The sequence below is a fragment of the Homo sapiens genome, chromosome 8, assembly GCF_000001405.40.
Source record: "Homo sapiens chromosome 8, GRCh38.p14 Primary Assembly".
Taxonomy (NCBI): Eukaryota; Metazoa; Chordata; class Mammalia; order Primates; family Hominidae; genus Homo; species Homo sapiens.
Window position 1 is genome coordinate 123,093,887 of NC_000008.11, and position 24,063 is coordinate 123,117,949.

Below are 24,063 nucleotides of genomic sequence, written 5' to 3' on the forward strand. Positions count from 1 at the left end.
TTTTTATTTTGCAAAATATCAAATATACACAAAAATAGAAAAATACATGAACCCCTAAGAATTTCTTCTTTTTTTTTGTTTGTGTGTGTGTGTTGTTTTATTTATACCAGCCTTTCCTCCATCAGAACCACTAAATATTTCCATAAGCTACAATAATCATCAACGAATGGCCATTTCTTTTCTTTTCTTTTTTTTTTAAATGGAGTCTCACTCTGTCACCCAGACTGGAGTGTAGTGGCATGATCTCAGCTCACTGCAACCTCTGTCTCCCGGGTTCACGCGATTCTTCTGCCTCAGCCTCCCGAGTAGCTGGGATTATAGGCACGTGCCACCATACTGGCTAATTTTTGTATTTTTAGTAGAGACAGGGTTTCACCATGTTGGTCAGGCTGGTCTCGAACTCCTGACCTTGTGATCCGCCCGCCTCGGCCTCCCAGAGTGCTGGGATTACAGGCATGAGCCACCGTGCCCGGCCATTTCTATTTTTATCAATAACTTCACCTACTTCTCCAATGCATTGTTTGAAGCAAAACCTAAGCATATCATTTTATCCATAAATATTTCAGTTTATCTCTGAAAGATAAGGGCGCTTTTGGAAATATAACCATAGTATTATCACACTTTATTTATTTATTTATTTATTTATTTATTTATTTATTTATTTATTTTTGAGACGAAGTCTCATTCTTGTCCCCCAGGCTGGAGTGCAATGGCACTATCTCAGCTCACTGCAACCTCCACCTCCCAGCTTCAAGCAATTCTTCTGCCTCAGCCTCCCAAGTAGCTGGGATTACAGGTGCCTGCCACCACACCTGGCTAATTTTTGTATTTTTAGTAGAGACGGGGGTTTCACCATGTTGGCCAGGCTGGTCTCGAACTCCTGACCTCTGGTGATCCGCCTGCCTCAGCCTCCCAAAGTGCTGGGATTACAGGCGTGAGCCACTGCACCCGACCTATTATCACACTTTTTAAAAATTAATAAGAATGTCTTAATATTGTCATATATCTAGTTATTGTTCAAACATCCTTGATTGGTCTAATAACTGGTTTTTATGATTGATTTGTTTGAATAAGAAGCAAAACAAGGCTCACAGATTGTATTTTGTTGATATATTCGTCTTTTTTTTTCCTTATAGTTTATTCATTAAATAACTGGTCATTTCTCCTCTAGAGTTTTCTATATTCTGGATTTTGCTCTTGTCTTCATGTGGTATTGTTTAATATGATCCTCTGTTACCTGTATTTTTCCTGTATACTGGTTATACCTGTATTTTCTAAAAACTGGAGGCTTGATCTGATTTAAGGACAAGAAGACATTATAGGTGGTTTGTGTACTTTCATAAGGAACAACATAGAACAGTTTTCTTTTGTGACGTCAGTAGCCATTAGTGATCATTCCCTAGATCTAGTACTGCCTTAGAAGTTAGCAAAATGCTGCTGTTCTAATTCTCTCATTTCTTCTTCACTTATTAGTTAATAACCTTCTATAGAAAGAAACTTCCTCTCATCAACCCTTTGGTTATTTTGATGTACAGTTGTAAAGGAAAGGCAGGATAAATGCTTAATTTTCCCCTCTTTTTTCTTAAACTAGTTTTTGAAGTAATGAATTGGTTTATTAGCATCTTTCAAAAGTGGCTAATGAAGATTTTTGTCTTGAATCTTTGTAAACTCATAGGCTTAGAGTAGTTGACAAGTTTTAATACATTGCAGCTGTCATTCTTAGAGATGTTCCAATTCTCTCATCTTTGACTAATAGGATCCTCTTTTCGCTGACTTTGGCATCCTTTTACTACAACTCCAGTTGCCTGTGATAGCTTTCATGCTTTCTGGTATGACAAGATGTTCCAAGCTTATCTTGTACAATTCCCGCCCTAACCCTGGAATCAGCCATTTCTCTAAAGAGTCTGGGTTCTTTTTTGGGAAATGGTATTTCAAGACCCTAATCCGGATGCTAGGGGTTCTCATTTTGACTGGGCCAATCATTGTTTCTAGTCAGGGGAAAGAGTTACAAAATAGATGTTAATTCCTCTCTTTTCTCACGCTGTTCTTCTAAGTCATCAGTAAATACCATCAACTCAACCAAACCATATAGCAAATTGGTCAATTTGTTTTTATTCATTGCTGTGGTTATTACCCTAATCCAAGCTACCCTAGCCTCTTTTAGACTACTATAATAGCCTTCTTATTTGTTCTCCCTGTTTTCAATCTCATTTCCTATAGTCATTCTCTACACAGCAGATAAAGTGGTTTTTATAAATCAGTAAGTCAGATCATGTCACTTTCCTATTTAACCTCCTTCATCACTTAGAGTAAAATTCAACCCCCCACCCCTCATTTCCCCTGAGGCCTTCTGTCACCTGGCCTACGCCTCCCTCGCTTCATCTCATTTCCTTCCTTAGTCTGCTCTAGCCACATCCGAGTATAGCAGTGTACTTTCATATGGCAATGCACTTGAGTATGACCTCTTACTTACTTTTCCTTATATACTAACCTTATTGCTTTTTCAGCACTTTTGTACCAGCCAGTCTGGAATACTGATCAGGATAGAATTCTTCCTCCAAGTCATCCCATGACTGGCCTATTTGTGTCATTCAGGTAGCAGATCTTCCTCCTTTCCCAGCTTTCATCACCTTATTTTATAGTTCTATATAGAACTTATCACCTGCTGAGATCAAGTTCATTTATTTGTTTGTTTGCCTTCCTCTAGACCAGAAGTCCTGTAAGAGCAGGATTACTTGGCTTGTGCAGCCTTAACTGACTGTGTCCATGGCTTCTGGGACCATACCTGGCTTATAGCAGACACTTGAAACATAACCATAGTATTACCACACTTTTTAAAAATTAGTAAGTCCTTTACAAGTTCTTGTTGAATGAGTGAGCAACGGCCTTGCAAGTCAAAACAACTTACTCTTTTTGTATCTTATTAAGGTAGCTTTCTTTGAGCAGGAAAAAAGTTTGGGCTGTTTTGTTTTTTTCATATAGCCATGTACCACCAATTCTATATAGCTGTACGTGAAATATAGAAAGTTGGATAGTGATAAGTGACTTTGAGATTATGCTATAAAATATAAGTGTTATGTGAAAAACCCACAATCAGGTCATTAAACAAGTGTTTGGTAAACTGGTGCCTTAGCACAGTAGGTAAAAAAAATATATACTATAAACCTGAGCTGTCCATGCAAGTATTTGAATTAATACAAATTAAATAAAATTTAAAAATAAGGTCCTTATTAACATTAGCCACATTTCAAGTGCTCAATAATCACATGGGACTAGTGTGACCATATTGCATAGCATAGACACAGTACATTTCTGTCATCATAGAAAGTTCTGTCGGACAGTGCTGCTACAAACAATTGAACCCGTTTTTCTTTCTCACTTTTTTGTTTATATAGAGATGGCCGAATCCTGGCTGCTGGAGGCAAGTCAAATCATCTTCATTTGTGGTGCTTGGAAGCTAGGCAGCTCTTTAGAATTATCCAGATGCCCACTAAAGTTCGAGCCATTCGCCATCTGGAATTTCTTCCTGATAGTTTTGATGCTGGTTCTAATCAGGTTAGTAACATAAATGTAGGGCACTGTACTTTTTGAGAAAGAACGCATCCGTCTCTGAACTATATTAGCTCTTATTTATTTAACTTACACCCTGGCTGTTACAATAATTTGAAATTACAAATATGTTATTTTTGTGAAGAGTCTAGGATTGAAAAAAATTTCAAAATCTTGTATTCTTTATACCATTGACAATTTGCTCTTTTTATAAAATCAACATACTGTAAATTTATATTGTACTTTATGGTTTGCAGTGTGCTTTAGCATGCAATTTTTCATTTGATCCTTAATTCTTTGGCATAGGCAGGAAAGATATTCTCCCCATTTTACAGATTATAACACTAACGACCAGAAACATTGACTCGTCAACATTCCTGTTAATTGTAAGGATTAAAGATTGGACTAGAACTAAAATGTTTTTATTGTGTTGTTATTTTATTTATCTTAACTGGTTGCTCACTCCTGTGAAACATGTTTTTATTGGTATCTTTCCTTAGTTTACAGAGTGCTTCTTCCTTCATCCCCCTTCGCTTATTCCTTTTTAAGACTTGAGTTCTGTCAAACCTTAACTTTCTTGTTTCAAATAGACTGTCGTGGATCTTGTATTTTAACAGATTAGATATATGTTTTACATATATATGTATACATATGCATGTATGTATATATCATGTCCATTTTACTTACTTTTTGATTAGGTAATATATTAACATGGTTGAAAACATAAAACAGCATACAGTAGGAAGTCTGTCACGCCTTTCTACCATTTGTCTAGTTGTTCACCTCCCCCCATATCCACTGTTGTTATATATAGTGTTATGTTTTTCCCATTATTTTATACAGCCTTGCACCTTCTATTCTTCCAGTTTTTTTGTTGTTGTTTTGAGATGGAGTCTAGCTCTGTCTCCCAGGCTGGAGTGCAGTGGTGCAATCTTGGCTCACTGCAACCTCCGCCTCCCAGGCTCAAGTGATTCTCCCGCCTCAGCCTCCCAAGAAGCTGGCACTACAGGCATGAACCACCATGCCCAGCTAATTTTTGTATGTTTAGTAGAGACAGGGTTTCACCATACTGGCCAGGCTGACCTCAAGTGATCCACCTGCCTCAGCCTCCCAAAGTGCTGGGATTATAGGCGTGAGCCACTGCGCCCAGTCTACCTTTTATTCTTAAGTTGGAAATTGTTCTATATCAGTGCAGAACTTCTTTCTTTTTCACAACTGCATAGTGTTGCAGTTTATTTTTTAAACCAGTCTCCTATTGGCAGTTAACCTATTTTTAGTCATTTTCTGTTACAAATAATGCTCACTGAATGACTTTTCACAAGTGTCATTTCACACATCCTCTTTGTAGGATAAAATCCCAGAGTTGAAATAGTGGCATAAAGGTTATGTGCATCTGTAATTTGGGTAGATCTTGCCCAGTTGACTTCCAGAGGAGTTGCATCAACTGCAGATGAGGGGCTTTGTTTCCTACAAGCCAACCAACAGGAGAACTTTATAGAGTGTCACCTCCAAACTGCCTTTTACCATCTTTTGTATGATAAGTGACATCAGCATTTCAAGCAATCACATGGTGGCATCACTTACCAGCCACTGCCACTGGGAAGAGAACCTGCACTTAGACAAGGCAGCATGGGGGTTTATTTGCTTAAACTTTTTTATTACATTTTTTTTTGTTTTGGTTTGGTTTTTGGTTTTTGGTTTTGAGACGGAGTCTCGCTCTGTCACCCAGGCTGGAGAGCAGTGGCATGATCTCGGCTCACTGCAAGCTCCGCCTCCCAGGTTCACGCCATTCTCCTGCCTCAGCCTCCCGAGTAGCTGGGACTATAGGCGCCTGCCACCACGCCCGGCTAATTTTTTGTATTTTTTAGTAGAGACGGGGTTTCACCGTGTTAGCCAGGATGGTCTTGATCTCCTGACCTCGTGATCCGCCCGTGTCGGCCTCCCAAAGTGCTGGGATTACAGATGTGAGCCACCATGCCCAGCCTTTATTACATGTTCTTAATTTTTGAAATTATGAGTTAAAATTTAAACTTTTCTCTCCCCTTAAAAGCCTAGCTTCCCTCCTACCCCTCCACTACCCTTGCAACTCACAAACTCTCCATTCTCCAAATGTTACTTAAAATATTTGCTGAAAACAGGCAGACAGTGGGGAGCCTCAGTGGGAGTGACAGGTTTGTGTGGGGGTAGCAGGGCTGTTAGCTTTGATTAGCTATGGAAAGGGTACAGGAAGGCAAACCCTCCACCCTCCTTGTTTCTGATAGCCAGTGTGGAGGCAAAAGTTGGGAACTGTCTGTCTTAGTCTGTTTTGTGCTGCTGTATTGGAATACCACAGACTGGGTAATTTATAAACAATGTAAGTTTATTTTTCACAGTTCTGGAGGCTGGGAAGTCCAAGATCTAGAGGTTGGCATCTTTTGAAGGCCTTTGTTCTCTGTCATAATATAGTAGAAGGCCTCATATGGGTGAGAAAGGGAGGGAGGAATGGGAGGGGACAAGAGGGAGCCGAACTCATCCTTTTATACCAAACCCACTCCCACAATAACAGCATTAATCTTTTCATGAGGGCAGAGCCGTCATGCCCTAATCACCTCTCATTAGGCCCTATCTGCCAACACTGTTGCATTGAGCAAGTTTCCAATATTTGCTGTTGGAGAGACGCATTCAAATTATATCATTGTCTAATCCTCTCTGTCCCCTGTATATGTCATCAGTGGGCATGATCTGCCTGTGGGAAGGGAAGATTCTTAGGGCACCTTTCCATAGTCTACCATGATAGGTTCCCTCCTGGTTCTGATTAGAGCCAGGGCATAATCAACATGAGCCATAAGTTGTGATTTTAAAATAGGTAATATCAGGCCAGGTGCAGTGGCTCATGCCTGTCTGTAATCCCAGCACTTTCGGAGGCCGAGGCAGGCAGATCACCTGACATCAGGAGTTCGAGAGCAGCCTGGCCAACATGGTGAAACCCCATCCCTATTGAAAATACAAAAATTAGCCGGGCCTGGTGACACATGCCTGTAATCCCAGCTACTCAGCAGGGTGAGGCTGGAGAATTGCTTGAACCCAGGGGGCGGAGGTTGCAGTGAGTGGAGATCGTGCCACTGCACTCCAGCCTGGGCAACAAGAGTAAAATTCCATCTCAAAACAATAATAATAATAATAATAATAAAATAAAATATATAATATCTCACTGAGAATAGAATTTCCTCTAGGTGTCCCTCTCAAAATATATATATTTATACACACATACACACATATACACACACACATACATACACAAACGTTGCATACACGTAAAGACGTGTATATAGTAGGACTTTCAGACATTGACTATCACATGTTTTTAGGAATTTATATTTTTTCTCTCTTAGGTTCTTGGAGTACTAAGTCAAGATGGTATTATGAGATTTATCAATATGCAGACTTGTAAACTTCTCTTTGAGATTGGGAGCCTCGATGAAGGAATTAGCTCATCAGCAATTAGCCCACATGGACGGTACATTGCATCTATTATGGAAAATGGAAGTCTAAACATATATTCAGTTCAGGCTTTAACACAAGAAATAAATAAGGTATGTATGATGAAGTAATCAACATCAGCTTTTTATAAACACTTATATATTATATCATCAAGAATAAAATCTTTATGCTACTATTTCTAACTTACCTGGAACTTATCCATTTTTCTGGATATATTTTGTTGCTCTTACTCCCAAAGCCACATCTCTGGCCTTGATTTCTCACGTATGCTCCATTCTTAAATTGCTGCCTTCCTGAGGGACATCTCCGTTTGATGTCTCTCATTTAGGTGTTACTCATTATCTCGTTCCCAAAAGAGTTCTTTCTGCAATTCTCTCTCATGTTTTCTTCCCATCTCATAGGCTAGAAACCTTGAAGTTCTATGACTTCCTATGCCTTTATTTTCTAAATCCAGTCAATACTAAGTCATATAACTTGTTTGTTTTTGTTTTGTTTTTGTTTTTGTTTTTGTTTTTTGAGACGGAGTTTTGCTCTCATTGCCCAGGCTGGAGTGCAATGGTGCGATCTTGGCTCATTGCAACCTCTGCCTCCTGGGTTCAAGTGATTCTCCTGCCTCAGCCTCCTGAGTAGCTGGGATTACAGGCGCACGCCACCATGCCCTGCTAATTTTTGTATTTTTAGTAAAGATGGGGTTTCACAATGTTGGTCAGGCTGGTCTCAAACTCCTGACCTCATGATCCACCCACCTTGGCTTCCCACAGTGCTGGGATTACAGGTGTGAGCCACCACGCCCAGCCCAACTTCTTAAATTTGAAATATCTGTAAATGTGCTGTCTGTTCTCCACTTCCATAATTGCTATCCTTGTATTGGTCTTCATTAACTACTCTGGACTAATGGTAATTTAAAGAAATATCTTAAACTCAGAGCCCTCAGTGCTTGCCCTGCCCATCCTTCCATCTTCTAAAATAATTCATCATCATTTCTTAACTAGTGCTACTTTAGTGGCTTCCTTCCTTCGCCTGTTGAATTAAGTCCAGACTCTTCTGCCTGGCTCTCAGTGTTCTCTCTAATCTTGTCTACCTGTCTAACTTATTTCCTCGAACTTATAGCTTCCCTCATTATCCCCATAGACACCATCCTTATTTCTGCATCTATTATCCACACCATCCATTTCACGAAAATGCATGCCTCACTTCTCTTCTCTGGTTATCTAAAATTCCCCCAGCTAACCAGTCATATTGTCCGTGTGTCTTCCAGTCTGAAATTGCACCTTGGTAGCTCTAACAGAGACTTTGATGATCACCTGGTCTAACCCTTTCATTTTACACAGGAAGAAGTTCGTGCTCAAAATTAATCACACAGCGAGTAACTAGCAGTTCTGGGTGTTCCAATTCTTCCAAGATTACATGAGATTGGGTGCATTTGGAGTGGCGTTTGCCACCTTTTTTTATTCTAAAAAAAAGTTTGTGCCTCCTCCTTTTTGTTTTATCTTTTAAAAAATTATACAAGTAGTGTCTTATTGCAGAAAAAAATAAGAATGTACAGAATAGCAAACAGACAAATACAAATCACTGAAAGTCTCACCATTCTCAGAAGATTCTGATTTATATGTTCCCAATTTCTTTTCTATGTGTGTAAATATATATAGTCACTCCTCATTATTTGTGCATTCTATACATGAGAATTCACCTGCTCACTAAAATTTATTTGTAACTTCAAAATTAATAGTTGCAGTGCTTTCATGGTCATTCAGGGACATGCACAGAGCAGTGAAAATTTGAGTCACCAGATACCCTTTTTCCCAGCTGAAGTCAAATGAGGCAACACTCTGTCTTCTTATTTCAGCTCTCATAGTGTAAACAAGTATCCTTTTTGTGATCTACTTAATACCATTTATTTTTTTGCATTTTGAAGCTTTTTGTTAAGATTCTACTGCTTAAAGTGGTCCCCAAGCGTAGCGCTGAAGCGCTATTTATTGTTTCTAAATACAGGAAGGCTGTGGCTTACCTTACAGAGAAAATACATGTGTTAAATAAACTCATTCAGGAATGAGTTATAGTGCTAAGCTGTGAGTTCAATGATAAGGAATCAGCAATGTGTATTAAATAAGATGTCTTTAAACAGAAACACACATATATGTATTGATTGATTAATGAGGCTCTCAGGAACCTGACTCTGTGTTTCCCCTAGGAGCAGTGTTTCAGTATTCACTAATCGAGTGTTCATGGTGACTTTATAGAACCACTGCAAATAGTGAGAATTAACTATACATATATGTTTCTGTGTGTACGCACATGTGTGTGTATGCATACTTGTCTCTAAACATATGGGATTATACTCTGCTGCTGTTTTGCTCTTTATGTCATTATGTATACTATATAAGTATATTTTTACATTATAATATGTGCTATATATTAATAAATTTTTTTAAATGTATTAATATCTGCTCTTACTGAGAGAGTTTTCAGCCTGCTGAATAGTCAGTTTTACAGTACTAGCTAAACCTTCTTTTCTTTTTTTTTTTGAGATGGAGTCTCACTCTGTCTTCCAGGCTGGAGTGCAGTGGTGTGATCTTGGCTCACTGCAGCCTCCGCCTCCCGAGTTCAAACAATTCTCCTGCCTCAGCCTCCCTAGCAGCTGGGATTACAGGCGCGTGCCACCACGCCCAGCTAATTTTTGTACTTTTAGTAGAGATGGTGTTTCACCATGTTGGCCAGGCTGCTCTTGAACTCCTGACCTTGGTGATCCACCCGCCTTGGCCTCCCAAAGTGCTGGGATTACAGGCATGAGCCACCGTGTCCAGCCTTGCAAACCTTCTTAATAGAGGCAGGCAGAGAGCTGAGAAAAACTATGGTAAGAATGAGTCATTGAGTTCCTTTCTGCTTGTTATCTGTTGAGCAAATTGATATCACATGAATAGAAAAGCTAGCTTGGAAGTAGAATGATCTTTTTTATTTTTTGACACATTCCCAGTACCATCAGTGTCTTTATGGCTGTTCCAGGCTACATTAATGTTCAATTCTATATTCTCTATAAATCATAACTCACCTTTGTCTCATTTTTACCAGTTTTATTTTCTTGTCATTGGAGAATTTCTGGTATTGTGGTAATAGAGTAAATGAATTCTTAAGTGTTGAAGGTTTAACACTACAAAGGTATGTCAAGTCAGGTTGTTTCTCAGGTTCTTTTTTGGGAGGTTATACTTCATGGTAGAGGATAAGGCTCAAACGGGAAATTGTGACATTTTAATAAATTTTAATTTTAATAAAATTTTAGTAAATTTCAGCTCTCATGGTGTAAACAAGTATCCTTTTTGTGGTCTACTTAATGCCATTTTTTTCTGTGTTTTGAAGCTTTTTGTTAAGATTTTACTTGTTAAAATGTTCCCCAAGCGTAGCATTGAAGCGCTATTTATTGTTTGTAAACACAGGCTGTGGCTTACCTTACAGAGAATATATGTGTTTTTAATAAAAATTTAGAAGAATGGATTGAAGTCAAAAAATAGTTTAAGGATATTAAATATGGGTAATATTCATAAGTCAGACCACTATTAATCCCATCCCATAGATGAATTGAAGAATTGAATCATAAACTGTAAATGGTCATTGTGTTTTAATTGTATTTAGAACTTAGAAAGCCTGAGTTACCTTATTTGCTCACTTCCTTTGAAGAAGGAAGATCTTTTGATTTCAAAGAGAATATTGTTTATGGAGAAAATGTTCTAGTGAGTAATGTTACTTTAAGTAAATTGAAGTTGTTCAGGTTTTTTTCCGTGTTTGATGGGCCCCATAAAAATGAAGGTATAGGTTCTAAGTCACATTGTCTGAACTGCTTAAGCTGTTGATACAATAAGGAACTAATAGTGATCACTAAGCAGATTAAAACATTTAACCAAGGGATAGAGGGGCAGAGGTTCCATGCTTCTAGAAGAAAGTCATTTGGCAGTTTCCTCTTAGAAATTTCACTTGACCCCAAAGAATATTAGGGTACTTCTGTCAGAATTCTAGAGGGCCATACCTCTAACTGTACCTTTTTTGCTGTAGATAATAATCACCATACTAACTTTACCATGTATGTGTAAACATGATTTGGTATTAAATGATTTAAGGCCAGCTTTCAAGGAATAATTATATTTATTGCTATTGTTAATCATGTATCTTTATTATGTTCTTCAAAAGGATTCAGCAGAAATTTGCTTTGATTTATTAGTCAAAGCAAATGTTCCTAGACATTTTACTTAAGTTTTTTGCCTGAAGAATAATTCTACATATTAAGGCATGTTATTAAAGCAAATTTTGAAAATCATACATTAACAGGCCTGTCTTCCAAGGATATCCATTAGAATATATATATATTTATTTTTCCATTTAGCCACCTCCGCCTTTAGTGAAAGTTATTGAAGATTTGCCCAAGAATAAACTGAGTTCCAGTGATCTTAAGATGAAAGTAACATCAGGGAGAGTACAGCAGCCAGCAAAATCTAGGGAAAGCAAAATGCAAACTAGAATATTAAAACAAGACCTGACTGGTGATTTTGAAAGTAAAAAGGTAAGAATATTTGGTAATTAAACTTTGTCATGATTCTGCTGTAGACAAGTCTTGTGATTTCTAAGCCATCACCACTCTTCTCTCTCTTGGGAATTAAAGAAAGAGAATAAAATGAAGAGAATAAAGTTGTAACCTAAATTATGCACAGGCTGGTCTCAATCCTGGCCTCAAGTGATCCTCCCACCTTGGCCTCTCAAAGTGCTGTGATTACAGGCATGAGCTGCCACACCCAGCCATATGGCAGCTTTGAGAAAGAAAGAAAATATAGCTATTAATAGAGAAGTGACATTATTTTCAAGGGATTTGAAAACTTTTTAATGACAAATATAATCACACACATATACAAAGTACACATTAATATAGAGCTCAGTGAACTTTCACAAAATGTACACACCATGTTACCAGCACCCAGATCAAAAACTGGAACATTACCATCAGCTTATTGCTCCACGCTCTCTCTCCCTCACCCCCACCCACCCCAGAATAACTACTCGACTGATACACTGTAGATTAACTTAGTAAATACTGTCAGTTTTCCTAAGTGGTTGATTGAAAAGTAGTTGATTTACATCCCTACCAGCAGTATTTGAGAGTTCTAGTTGCTCCATATTCTCACTAATAATACCTGATATTTTTCACATTGATTTTAATACAGTGTCCTTCCTTATCCATGGTTTTACTTTCCATGGTTTTGTTTACATGTAATCAGCTGTGGTCCAAATATATTCAAAGGAAGATTTCAGAAAAAACAATTCATAAGTTTTAAATTGCACACCGTTCTGAGTAGCATGACGAAATCTCCTGCCATCTTGCTCTGTTCCACCTGGCACATGACCATCATTCTGTCTAGCATAGTCACTCAGTAGCCTCTTGGTTATCAGATCTACTGTCACAGTATCACAGTGCTTGTGTTCCAGTAACCTTTATTTTACTTAAAAAACTTCTGTAGAGCACAAAAGTACTGATACTGACATATTGTCAGAATTGTGCTATTTTATTATTAGTTATGATAATCTATTGTTGTGCCTAATTTATAAATTAAACTTTATTATAGGTATGTATATATAGGGAAAAACATAATATATTTAGGGTTCAGTGTTATCTGAGGTTTCAGGCATCCACTGGGGATCTTGGAACATTTCCTCGTCAAATCAGTGGGGACTATTGTAACTTCTTTTTTCTTTAAGCATTTTTTAATTGTAAAATTTGCAACACAGAAGAGTGTCTAAAACAGATTACAGCTTAATGAAAAGTAATAAAAAGATTACACATGTATCCTGTGTCAGGTAGCTGCAAGACCATCCTTAGGTTTGATGATTTATTAGGACTCAGCATGTAGCCATATTCATAGCTATAATATATTAAAGTGAAAGGATGCAAAGCAAAATCAGCAAAGGGAAAAGACACATGGGGTGAAGTCCAGAAGAAACCAGGCACAAGCTTCCGGGAATCTTCTCCCACTGGAGTCACAGGACATCCTTGATTCCTCCATCAATGAATATGTGTGGCAATATGTGTGAAATATTGTCTACCAGGGAAATTTATTAGAGACCTGGTGCCCAGGATTTTTACTAGAGGCTGGTTCTGTAGGTACCCTGTTTTAACAGGTTTCAAATTTCAGACTCCCAGAAGGAAGGCGGGCATTAAGCATAAACCACATTGTACAAACAGTTTAAGCACAATGAGCCACTCTTTATTGGTTCTAGGGGTGGTGAGAACTTTCCTGAAATTCAACTTCTAGACACCAGCCAAAGGCTGACCTTGCAAGTAAGCCTTCTGAGGGTAGCAGGCTCAGACCGGCTTGTGTTCACTTTTTTCTGCACATACCCATTTCCACATGAAGAAATAGAGCATTACCGTAGCTTTGGAGCCCCGTGTGTGCTTATCCCCCATCACATTTTTCTCCCTACCCCATATATATAACCATTGTCCTCACTTTTGTGTTAATTATGCCGTTGATTTTCTTTATAGTTTTATAACTTCTTCATGTAACTCTAAACAAAATATTACTTCTTTAAAGAAAAAACTGAATAGCAGACACAAGCCTAGCCTAGTTGTGTAAAGACTGGGCAATGTTGCTCCTATTTAATGAATGCTTTAATGCAAAGATAAGCTGAATGGTATCTCTGAGATGTTCTGGCTTCAGAGTTTGCAGGACCTTTTCTGGGAAAACTGGTGGGAATGGTCATGAGCAACTTTGGGAAGTAAAAGCCTCATCATGTCAGGGTATCTGGCAGCATTGTAGTGTGGATCCAATGTGGATATCCTACAGAAATATGTCAAGGAATGGAGCTGCTTCCAAGGAAACCATAGCCAGTTCTAAAAAGTAGGTCAAAGTAGAACACTTCTATGGCATGAAGTGCAAGTCCTCAACTAATCTTTGCATTAGCACGTGGAAAGAAAAGAAGGAACTTTATCAGCTCATGGCCAAGACAAGGACAGGTCAAATTGAGGCCAAACTCCCCAGGGCATCTTTTTCTTTGTTTAAAAAGAAGCTTCAATGGCAGCAGGTATCTTGATGATGAAGTCAGTCTTCCTGGATCATGTTGCTCTCATTTGTTCTAGTTGCCCTCTATACCTTTAATATGGCACTCAAGTATCTTCATTCACCATCATCTTAGGTTTTCCCTTCACCCTTCTCTTACATTGGACTACCTGTTTCTTCTTGTAAAAAGAGCACTAAACGAAATCAGAAAGTCTGGCTTCGAGTCTTGAGCCAAGATTTAGCAGATTTGTGACCATAAGCAATTCACCAAACTTCTCTGATTTTCCCATTTTTTCAAATAAAGGAAGACATTTCATCTGTTTCATATAGTTGTTAGATCCAGTTGAGATAATATATGCAAACAGCTTTATAATCCTAAATTCTATAAAATATTTTTTATTAAGATAAAAATTGACTTTAAAGTCTTAGATATAAGGGACTATCAGCAGGAGCTGATGTCTGTTAGGATAAAATGATGAACTCCCACATGTTTTTCTGCCAGACTTGTCCTTGATGCTTTAATGCTAGGAATTGCCTAGAATTTTAAGGAAAGAGAGAGGTGGGGGAGGAGCGGTCAGAGTGGATTGCTCTTGATGCAGGAGTCCCAGATGACAGCCGATGGGCCTAATTCGGCTATTCAAGCTAAGAATGGTTTGTGCATTTTTAAGTAGTTATATATAAATATATAATTTTGATTTTTCTTCTTGGCCCACAAAACCTAAAATATTTACTAACTGGCCTGTATTAGTCTGTTTTCACACTGCCATAAAGAATACTACCTGAGACTGAGCAATTTATAAAGAAAGGAGGATTAATTGACTCACAGTTCCACATGGCTGTGGAGGCCTCTGGAAACTTACAATCATGGCAGAAGGTGAAGGGGAAGCGGGCACCTTCTTCACAAGGCAGCAGAAGGAGAGAGAGGAATATGTGGAGGAGAGACTGTCAAACACTTAACAAAACCATCAGATCTCGTGAGAACTATCATGAGAACAGCATGGGGGAACTACCCCCGTGATCCAGTCACCTCCCACCAGGTCCATCCTTCAACACGTGGGGATTGTGGGGATTGTAATTCAAGATGAGATTTGGGTGGGGACACAGAGCCAAAGCATATCATGGCCCTTTACAGAAAAAGTTTGTCAAGCTTGTTTAGGGAAGGTACTATATCATGAACTTTATTGGCTATGTATATGCATGCTCAAGAGAGGGAGAGAGGGGAGTGGGGAAAAGACCTATGATACACAAATATGTCTTACTATGTGTTGTTTTCTAAAGTTGGGAAGTCACTGTGGACTAGATTACCTTTGTCACCTTTTCAGTTTTAATGATTGTGTCATTTATTAATATTGTCTTTTTCTTTGTAGAATGAATTACCAGATGGATTAAACAAAAAGCGTTTACAAATCTTATTAAAAGGCTATGGTGAATATCCAACAAAATACAGGTACAATTTAAATTCTGTATGTTACATCAGTTTTACTCAAAAAAAATTGGGGGGATTAAAATATATTTTTATTTCAGAATGTTCATTTGGCGCTCTCTGCTACAACTGCCTGAAAATCATACTGCGTTTAGTACCCTCATAGATAAGGGGACTCATGTGGCATTTCTCAACCTTCAGAAGAAATACCCCATCAAAAGTAGGAAGCTACTCAGAGTATTACAGAGGTATGTTCTATATATTGCAGCAATGTGTATGAGACCTGTAACTAATAATTGCAATGTTATAAAATCTCCTGTTTATAAAATATTGTTTTGTCAGTTTGATTATCCTTATGTGATATGTTGGTTTAATTTTAAAAATGTACATGCACATATATTACATGTGAATATTAGTTTGTGTTGTGTTCTAGAAAATAGGACTCTTTCAGTTAATCTGAAAGAACATCCCAGCACTTTGGGAGGCCAAGGCGGGCAGATCAGCTGAGGTCAGGAATTGGCGACCAGCCTGGCCATCATGGTGAAACCTATCTCTACTAAAAATACAAAAATTAGCTGGGTGTGGTGGCGGGCATCTATAATCCCAGCTACTCAGGAGGCTGAGGCAGGGAGAATCGGTTGAACCCTGGAGGCAGAGGTTGCAGTGAGCTGAGATCACGCCATTTTACTCCAGCCTGGGCGACAGGGCAAGACTCCATCTCAGAAAAAAAGAACAGAGGCATAGTGGAAAGAGCTTTGAATTTGAAGGCAAAAGACCTAGTTTTGAATTCTTATTCTACCACTTAATGATTGTGATGTAAGACGTGTTATTTTACTTCTTAGCCTTAATTTTTTTTATCTAAAAGTGGGGGTAATAACACCAACATCATAAGACTATTGGGAAAGTTAGATGAGAATCTCTTTTAGAATGCATATGCTAGAGTCCATTCCTAGGAAGCATCCAGTAAATGTTAATAATAACAGTAGCTCATCCTTTAACCTGCTTTTCATGTGTTAGGCACATTTGACTTATAGGTAAAGAAACTAAGGCATAGAGAGACTAGGAAATATGATCAAGTCACAGCAGTGATAGAGCTAAGATTAAGCCCAGGTTCCAGAGCCGAAGACTTTTTTTAAAAATAATTTTTATTATGAAAAATTTCAAGCATAAATAAAAAATAATGTAACAAATATCCCCATGCCCATCACCCAGCTTCAACAATTGCCAACTCATAGCCAATCACGTTGGGTGAATATTCCCACTCACTCTACACCCCACATCCCAACATACACACACTCCCCTTGCTAAATATATACATATGTATCCCTAAAGGATAAGGACTCTTTTTCTTTAACATAAGTACACTATCATACTGACACACAAAAAAGAATTAATAATTCTTCAGTATGTTCAAATATTCAATCAGCATTCCTCTGATTGTCTTAAAAATTTTCTTATGTAAACTTGTTCAAATCAGGGTTCAAACAACATGTACACATTACATTTGGTTGATACCCCACTGAGATTAATCTATAGACTCTGATACCTCTTTTTTTCTTACAATTTATTTGTTGGAGAAACCAGATCGTTTAACCCATACAGCCCTCTATGTTCTGGGTTTTGCTGATTTTATTTCATAGTATTGTTTAACATGTTTCTCTATCTCCTGAATTTACTATAAACTGGCAGTTAGAGCTAGGGGCTTGATCTGAGTCAAGGTTTTTTTTTTCCCCCCTTTGGTATTTGTTTCTTTCACTTGCAAGAAAACTTCCTAGGTGGTTTTATGTACTTGTTAGGCGGATTATAATTAATACCTGGCTGTCTCTCTTTTCGTGATGTTGTCCATTGATGATTATTGCCTACATCCATTATTTCACCAGAGATTAGCAAAACAGTGATAATATAATTCTGTTCCTTCTCATTTTATAAACCGGGAAATTTCTCCAAAGAAAAAGTTCTTAGGATCAACTACTTGGTTACCGGAAGATACAACCCATGTAGGAAAAGGCAAGTTAAATGCTTGGTATCTTTTTTTTTAAACAGTTTTCAGAATAGTAAACTTATTACCTTGGAGCTCCCCAGAGCAATCAGTGTATTGATTATGAACTCAGATTGAACATATAGACCTTTTCAGTACATAGAACCAGGAGTTCATACTAATATTTTCAATTCAGATTTAAGATTACAAATTTGCATAGCTGCTTTGATTTTATATTTGTATTTTTTTCTTATGCTAAAAATCTTGATTTCTAACAGCATTGACATAATTCCTTATTTTCTTTAACACACATACACACACACACACTCACACAATGGTTTTTAAGCTCCATATATTTATGCTGTATAATAAAAACTATATAACTATAAATAATAACAATGTGAATATTATGATTATTGAAAGCAGTCCAAAATATCTTTTATAGTTCTTTTTGTCCTTAGGTTATATCCCACTAGGCATATATAATCAAATTATTGTTTTCATTTTTGTTTTTGTTTTTTGAGACAGGGCCTTGCTCTGTCACCCAGGCTGGAGTACAATGGCATAATCATAGCTAACTGTAACCTCGAACTCCTGGGCTCAAACGATCCTCCCCCCTTAGCCTCCCAAGTAGCTGCTACAGGTATGCACCGCCATGCCTGGCTAGTTTATTTATTTATTTTTAAGTAGAGATGAAGTCTTACTATGTGGCCCAGGCTCATCTGGATCTCCTGGGCTCAAGTGATCCTTCTGCCTCTACCACCAATGTATTGGTATTAATGTATTGGTATTACAGGTGTGAGCCACCACACCCAGCCCAAATTATTGTTTTAAAATGACTTGAAATAACTCCTCTTCATATGATAATGCCACTAGCTCACTACACAGGTTAATTTGTTTCATTTGTTTTCAGTTTTTTGAAAAATTTTTGTATTTAATTTAATTTGTTTTATACTTTTATAAAACATTTACATGTTTTCTAAATCAAATCTACAAAATAAGGTACATTCAGAACAGGCTGACTTCTGTTTCCTTTGTCCTGTTACTTCTCCTCCCAATAAGTCATCCTTTTAGCAAATATCTTATTTGTATTTACAAATATGTTTGTATTTACCTCCTTAGGTAAATGGTTGTATACTATTACACTTTTCTGTACTCTGCTTTTTAAATTTAACAACGTATTTTGGATATCATTTTAAAGCAATGTACAGAAATATTCATCTTTTTTTTATACCTGCATTATGCACCATTATTTATTTGGCCTGTCCCTTAATGAACATGTAGATTATTTTCAATCTTCTGCTGTCACAAGCATGCTGCATTAATTAGTTTGGCCCATAAGTCTTTTTCTATTAAGTGTATCTTTGGAATAGATTCATAAATGTTAGATGCTGAGTCAAAGGGTAAATACATAATATACTGCCCTTTTCAATTAGAGAAAACATCAGATAACTTTGTTAAGAGATGACTTAGAGATGGGAATTTGCTTACTTTTTCTATTTGGTCTTCACACTTACTATGCTTCCTGTCTGTGTGTAAGATAACATCACAGTTCAGACGTTTGTCAGAATACCAGTGTAGACTGTCAGTGCCTTGCCTTTGCTTTTTAGGTTCATATTCTAGGTTGAGAGCCGTAAATATCTTGGGTAGAGAGTGAAGTCTCTCATCAGATGCCGAAGGAATTAAAAGAGGAGAGTACATTACTTCAAAAATGATGATTTTGTGCATTCTTCTGAAATAATAAATTTCCTGAGTTCAGAGGACAAGGTAGAAAACATTTTCTCCTTCTGTTGACCCCCTCACTGTAGGGAATGAAGAACTGATTTTATCAATAAGTAAAAGTTACTCAAGTAACTGTTTAAGGTATCTAAAATTTCTTATAATTTTTCCGTATCCTAGGATTTTAGACTTTCTAAATTATGAATGCTTTTCTTGGGTACTTGTTGATGCTTCTTCCTTATCCCCAGTAGTACAACTTAAAAACAGAATATTTTAGGATTTTTTCACTCTTTCATTAAGTTCTGTTCACATTCACATTAAGAGCAAATAATACTGCTCTGCTTTTTGGGAAAGAGTGAGGTAACACTTTTAATATCATAGTGTAAGCTATAAATTTGATTAAAAATTCAAATTATCAGAGAAATAATTTTGATGTTTTCTACCTAAATACAGTGTATACATGGGGACCTTCTTGAGATGTATTTTCCAAAAGATCTTCCTAAAGTGACAAGAGGTTGCTCATATCATTTGAAGTTTCTCATAAAATGTAATAAGCTGTTACGCTTTATATACTTATATGCCTACTAGTACATTTACAATTAAAGTTACCATTGTAACTAATTCTGTGTAGGTGTACTTTAAATTATAATCCTAGTTTAGTTAAAGCTTCAAAGCAATTTTTTTTGTTGGTTCTGAAATTTCTGTTTTTCTAAATTTTTAAATTTAAATTTTACATTTCTGTTTCTACTAAAATTCAAAATTGTAACTTAAAAGGGAGGGATTATTCTACATTAAAAGAGATAGAGATTTAAGGGCGATAACCAAATTCAATGAGTGAGCCTTTTTTTTCTGCTACAAAAATGGATCAATGAATGAGTCTTGTTTAGACAATTGGGGAAATTTGAGTCTTGCCTGATTATGAAACAATACTACAAAATAATTGTTAATTTTATTTACGTTACAGTGGTGTTGTGACTATATAAGAAAATCATCCCTCCCCCACTTTTTTAAAGAGTTGTAGACTTCTGTATTAAAAGAATAAAGTGGCATGATGTCTGGGATTTGCTTTATAATAGTCTAGCCAAAAATTGAGGGGATATAGTCAATGAAAGAAGTATAATAAAACATGGATTTATTGTTGTAGCCAGGCGACAGGCTCATGGGGCATGATCGTGCTTTCTAGTTTTATATATGTTTGGAATTTTTTGTGATACAGTTTTTTGTTGTTGTTTTCTGTTTGTTTGTTTTTTGTTGTTGTTGTTGTTGTTGAGACAGAGTTTCCACTCTGCTGCCCAGGCTGAAGTGCAGTGGTGCCATCTTGGCTCACTGTAACCTGCCCCTCCCAGGTTCAGGTGATTGTCCTGCTTCAGCCTCCAGAGTAGCTGGGACTACAGGCACCCCCCACCACACCTGGCTAATTATTTGTGTTTTTAATAGAGACAGGGTTTCACCAAGTTTGCCAGGCTGGTCTGGAATTCCTGACCTCAGGTGATCTGCTCGCCTCGGCCTCCCAAAGTGCTGGCATTACAGGTGTGAGTCACTGCACCCGGCCTGTGATACAGTATTTTTAAAAGTAACTTTAAAGTATTCATTTTCAATGACAAAAAGAATATTCCTTCTTTGTAAAATAATTCAAACAGTACAGAAGATTATGAAGAAAAAATCAGCACCTCTTCCAGCCCCAATTTGACTTGCTAGAGGTAATTGTTTGGTTTACTTTTGTATAGATATTTTTGTATGTATATAATGCAAAAGTATTCACATACATTTAACAAGAATGGAATCATACTATACATACTATTTTGCCGCTTATCTTCCTTTTTACTTTCAAGTCTATCATGGACCTCTTTCTCTCAGTATATGTAGGTTTACTTCTTTCTAAAAAATGCACATGGATGGATGTTTCAGGATTTAAGTCTTCATCTTGTTAATTGACATTTAGGTTATTTTATGTTTATTTGCTTTTCAGACAATATTATAATAAATACCCTCATAAATATCTTGTGTGAATATTTTTGTGTAGACTTCTAGAATTGAAACTACTAGGTCAAATCATTCATTTTTTCTTTCTCTCTCAGAAAATTCTGCCAACCCTGGGAAATGCCAGTGTTACTGTGTTTTCACCGACACTGGATGTTATCAGTCTTTATTTGTTGTCAGTCTGAGAGTCAGTCAAAAGATGGCAACTCAGCATTGAATATGTAACTTCTGTAATTATGAAAGTACTATCCTTAGGAGAATATGTTCTTGTATTTAGGTTGATTTCTAGCCCTTCCAAAAATGAGGATTTCCTTACATTCTCTGGAATTCCATGTCCTAGGCTCAGTAATGAAGCTAATCCCTCCCTCCTGGGGTTGTTCTGAGTATTGTATCGAATAATAAAAAATGTCTGACATAGCTTATTAACTCCATTAACTATGTTAGTTCTCTATTGCTGCTATAACAAATTACCACACATGTAGTGGCTTAAAAACAACACAAATTTATCCTTAGAGTTTGGTAGGCAGAAGTTCACCATGGGTTGGATCTCACTGGGCTAAAATCAGAGTGTCAGCAGGGCCACATTCCTTTCTAGAGGCTCTGGGGAGAATCCTTTTCTTTGCCTTTTCCAGCTTCTGCAGGTTTCCCATATTTCATGACTCAGACCCACCTTTTCTGTCTTCAAAGCACCTCTCTAACCATTCCTCTGTAGTCGTATCTCCCTCTGACCGCAACCAGGAAGGGGTTCTTTGATATTAAGGACCTATGTGATTAGATTGGACCTACCCAGGTAGTCCAGGATTAATGCCCTCACCCCAAGGTGCTTAACTTAATCATATCTGCAAAATCTCATGTAAAATAATATCTTCATGGATTACAGGGATTAGAGCATGGACATCTTTTGGGGAGGGGGACAGTTTTCATTATTCTGCTTGCCACATTAACTATAAAGTATACTCAGAAAAATAATTTATATTTAAACAGTAATGAAAGGGAATTAGCCTTAAAAATATTAAAAGCTATTATAAAGCATTGAAATTGCTGCTGACATATAAATAGATATGCAGAGTCTAACAATAGACCCAGCTACATTCCAAAATTGACTTGTTTTTAAAGATGTCATTTCAAAGTAATGAAGAAAAGATAGGTTATTTAGTAAATGACATGGAATAACTAGCTAGCCATCTAGAAAAAGTTGAAAGCATACCTCATATCTTACACCATATAAATTCTGCTTGAACTAAAGATTTAATTCCTTTTTAAAAAAACAAAACCATCAAAGTATTAGAAATAAATGTGGAGTTAGCAAGTCTGAAACTACTTTATGTGTAGAAGCCACTTTTTGTATACAAATAGCTCAATAGAGACGAGAGCCAGGTTTCTTACTCTCAGAGAAAGAAGATAAATAAGCAAAAGGGCTAGAATGAATCTTGCAGTAGTTGATTGGAATCGATAGTGTTAGTTCTTAACGTATATGCAGATAAATAGACACAGAAAGGAATATAGATATGCATGTATGCAGGAGTTAGTATACATGCATATATTGCCAAGCTCTTTCTACCGAGAAGGCCTAACAATGACACCCTGGTAACAGTGAGCGCACCTACTGGTGTGGGGAAAATACAAGATGAACCTGAAGCATCTTTTAGTGCCATAAAGTAAGGAAATGCTCTGAAAGGATGGGCATGTCACAAGGGCACGTGACTCAACCTAAAAGTTTCCAGTGGCCAAAGCTGGAACAATTTGAGGAACAAAATAAATAACAATCAATTATAACTTGTAGAATAAAATAAATATCCATGAGTTCATCCTGACATAAATAATTGAATAAATAAAGATATAAATGAGGGAGAAGGGACAGTTCTAATAAATATAGAAGGAATTAGAGATATAGAAAATCACTATTGGGACACCACGGTGATAATTGTTGGAGGCAAGATCCACCAATTGATGCTAAAATTACTGGACAAAAGTTCTAGGAGTGCCTGGGCACGGTGGCTCACGCCTGCAATCCCAGCACTTTGGGAGGTCAAGACGGGTGGATCACCTGAGGTCAGAAGTTAGAGACCAGCCTGGCCAACATGGTGAAACCGTATCTCTATTAAAAATGCAAAAATTCGCTGGGCATGGTGGCATGCACCTGTAATCCCAGCTACTTGGGAGGCTGAGGCAGGAAAATCGCTTGAACCTGGGAGGTAGAGGCTGCAATGAGCCCAGATCACACCACTGCACTCCGCCTGGGTGAAAGAGTGAGACTTTGTCTCCAAAAAAAAAAAATTCTAGGATTCACAGGATATTTGCATAGTCTTAAAATATCTCCCCCAAGACAGTTATTAATGGCAAATGGAAAAATAGTAATTTTGTAGTAGATAAACTCAGCAGATAACAGCTTAACCAAGTAAGCACATTTAAAATCACTAGTACACCAGGCGTGGTGGCTCACGCCTGTAATCCCAGCACTTTGGGAGGCCGAGACGGGCGGATGACGAGGTCAGGAGATCGAGACCATCCTGGCTGACACGGTGAAACCCCGTCTCTACTAAAAATACAAAAATTAGCCGGGCATGGTGGCGCGCGCCTGTAGTCCCAGCTACTCGGGAGGCTGAGGCAGGAGAATGGCGTGAACCCGGGAGGCGGAGGTTGCAGTGAGTCGAGATCGCGCCACTGCGCTCCAGCCTGGGCGACAGAGCGAAACTCCGTCTCAAAAAAAAAAAAAAAAAAAAAAAAAAAATTAATTGAGCGTGGTGGCACACACCTATAGTCCTAGCTACTTGTGGCTGAAATGGAAGAATTCCTTGAGTGTGGAGATTCAAGGCTGCAGTGAGCCATGATAGCACCACTACACTCCAGCCTGGGCAACAGTGTGCAAACCTGTCTCAAAAATTAAATAAATAAAATGA

The 24,063-nt window shown here is 37.6% G+C and overlaps 1 protein-coding gene across 28 annotated transcripts in view; it reads left to right on the plus strand.

The window, feature by feature from the left end:
* Positions 1-24,063, plus strand: part of TBC1D31 (TBC1 domain family member 31) — a 92,467-nt gene that overhangs the window by 21,180 nt on the left and 47,224 nt on the right. For all 28 annotated transcript variants that reach the window (XR_001745622.2, XM_011517379.3, NM_001363151.2 and 25 more), the window contains 5 exons: positions 3,396-3,555; positions 6,921-7,121; positions 11,402-11,578; positions 15,431-15,510; positions 15,588-15,734. Coding sequence is in view for 27 of the 28 variants with exons in the window: in XM_011517379.3 (XP_011515681.1) it covers positions 3,396-3,555; positions 6,921-7,121; positions 11,402-11,578; positions 15,431-15,510; positions 15,588-15,734 (765 nt within the window). In the remaining variant the exon portion in view is untranslated. The remainder of the gene's footprint in view (positions 1-3,395; positions 3,556-6,920; positions 7,122-11,401; positions 11,579-15,430; positions 15,511-15,587; positions 15,735-24,063) is intronic.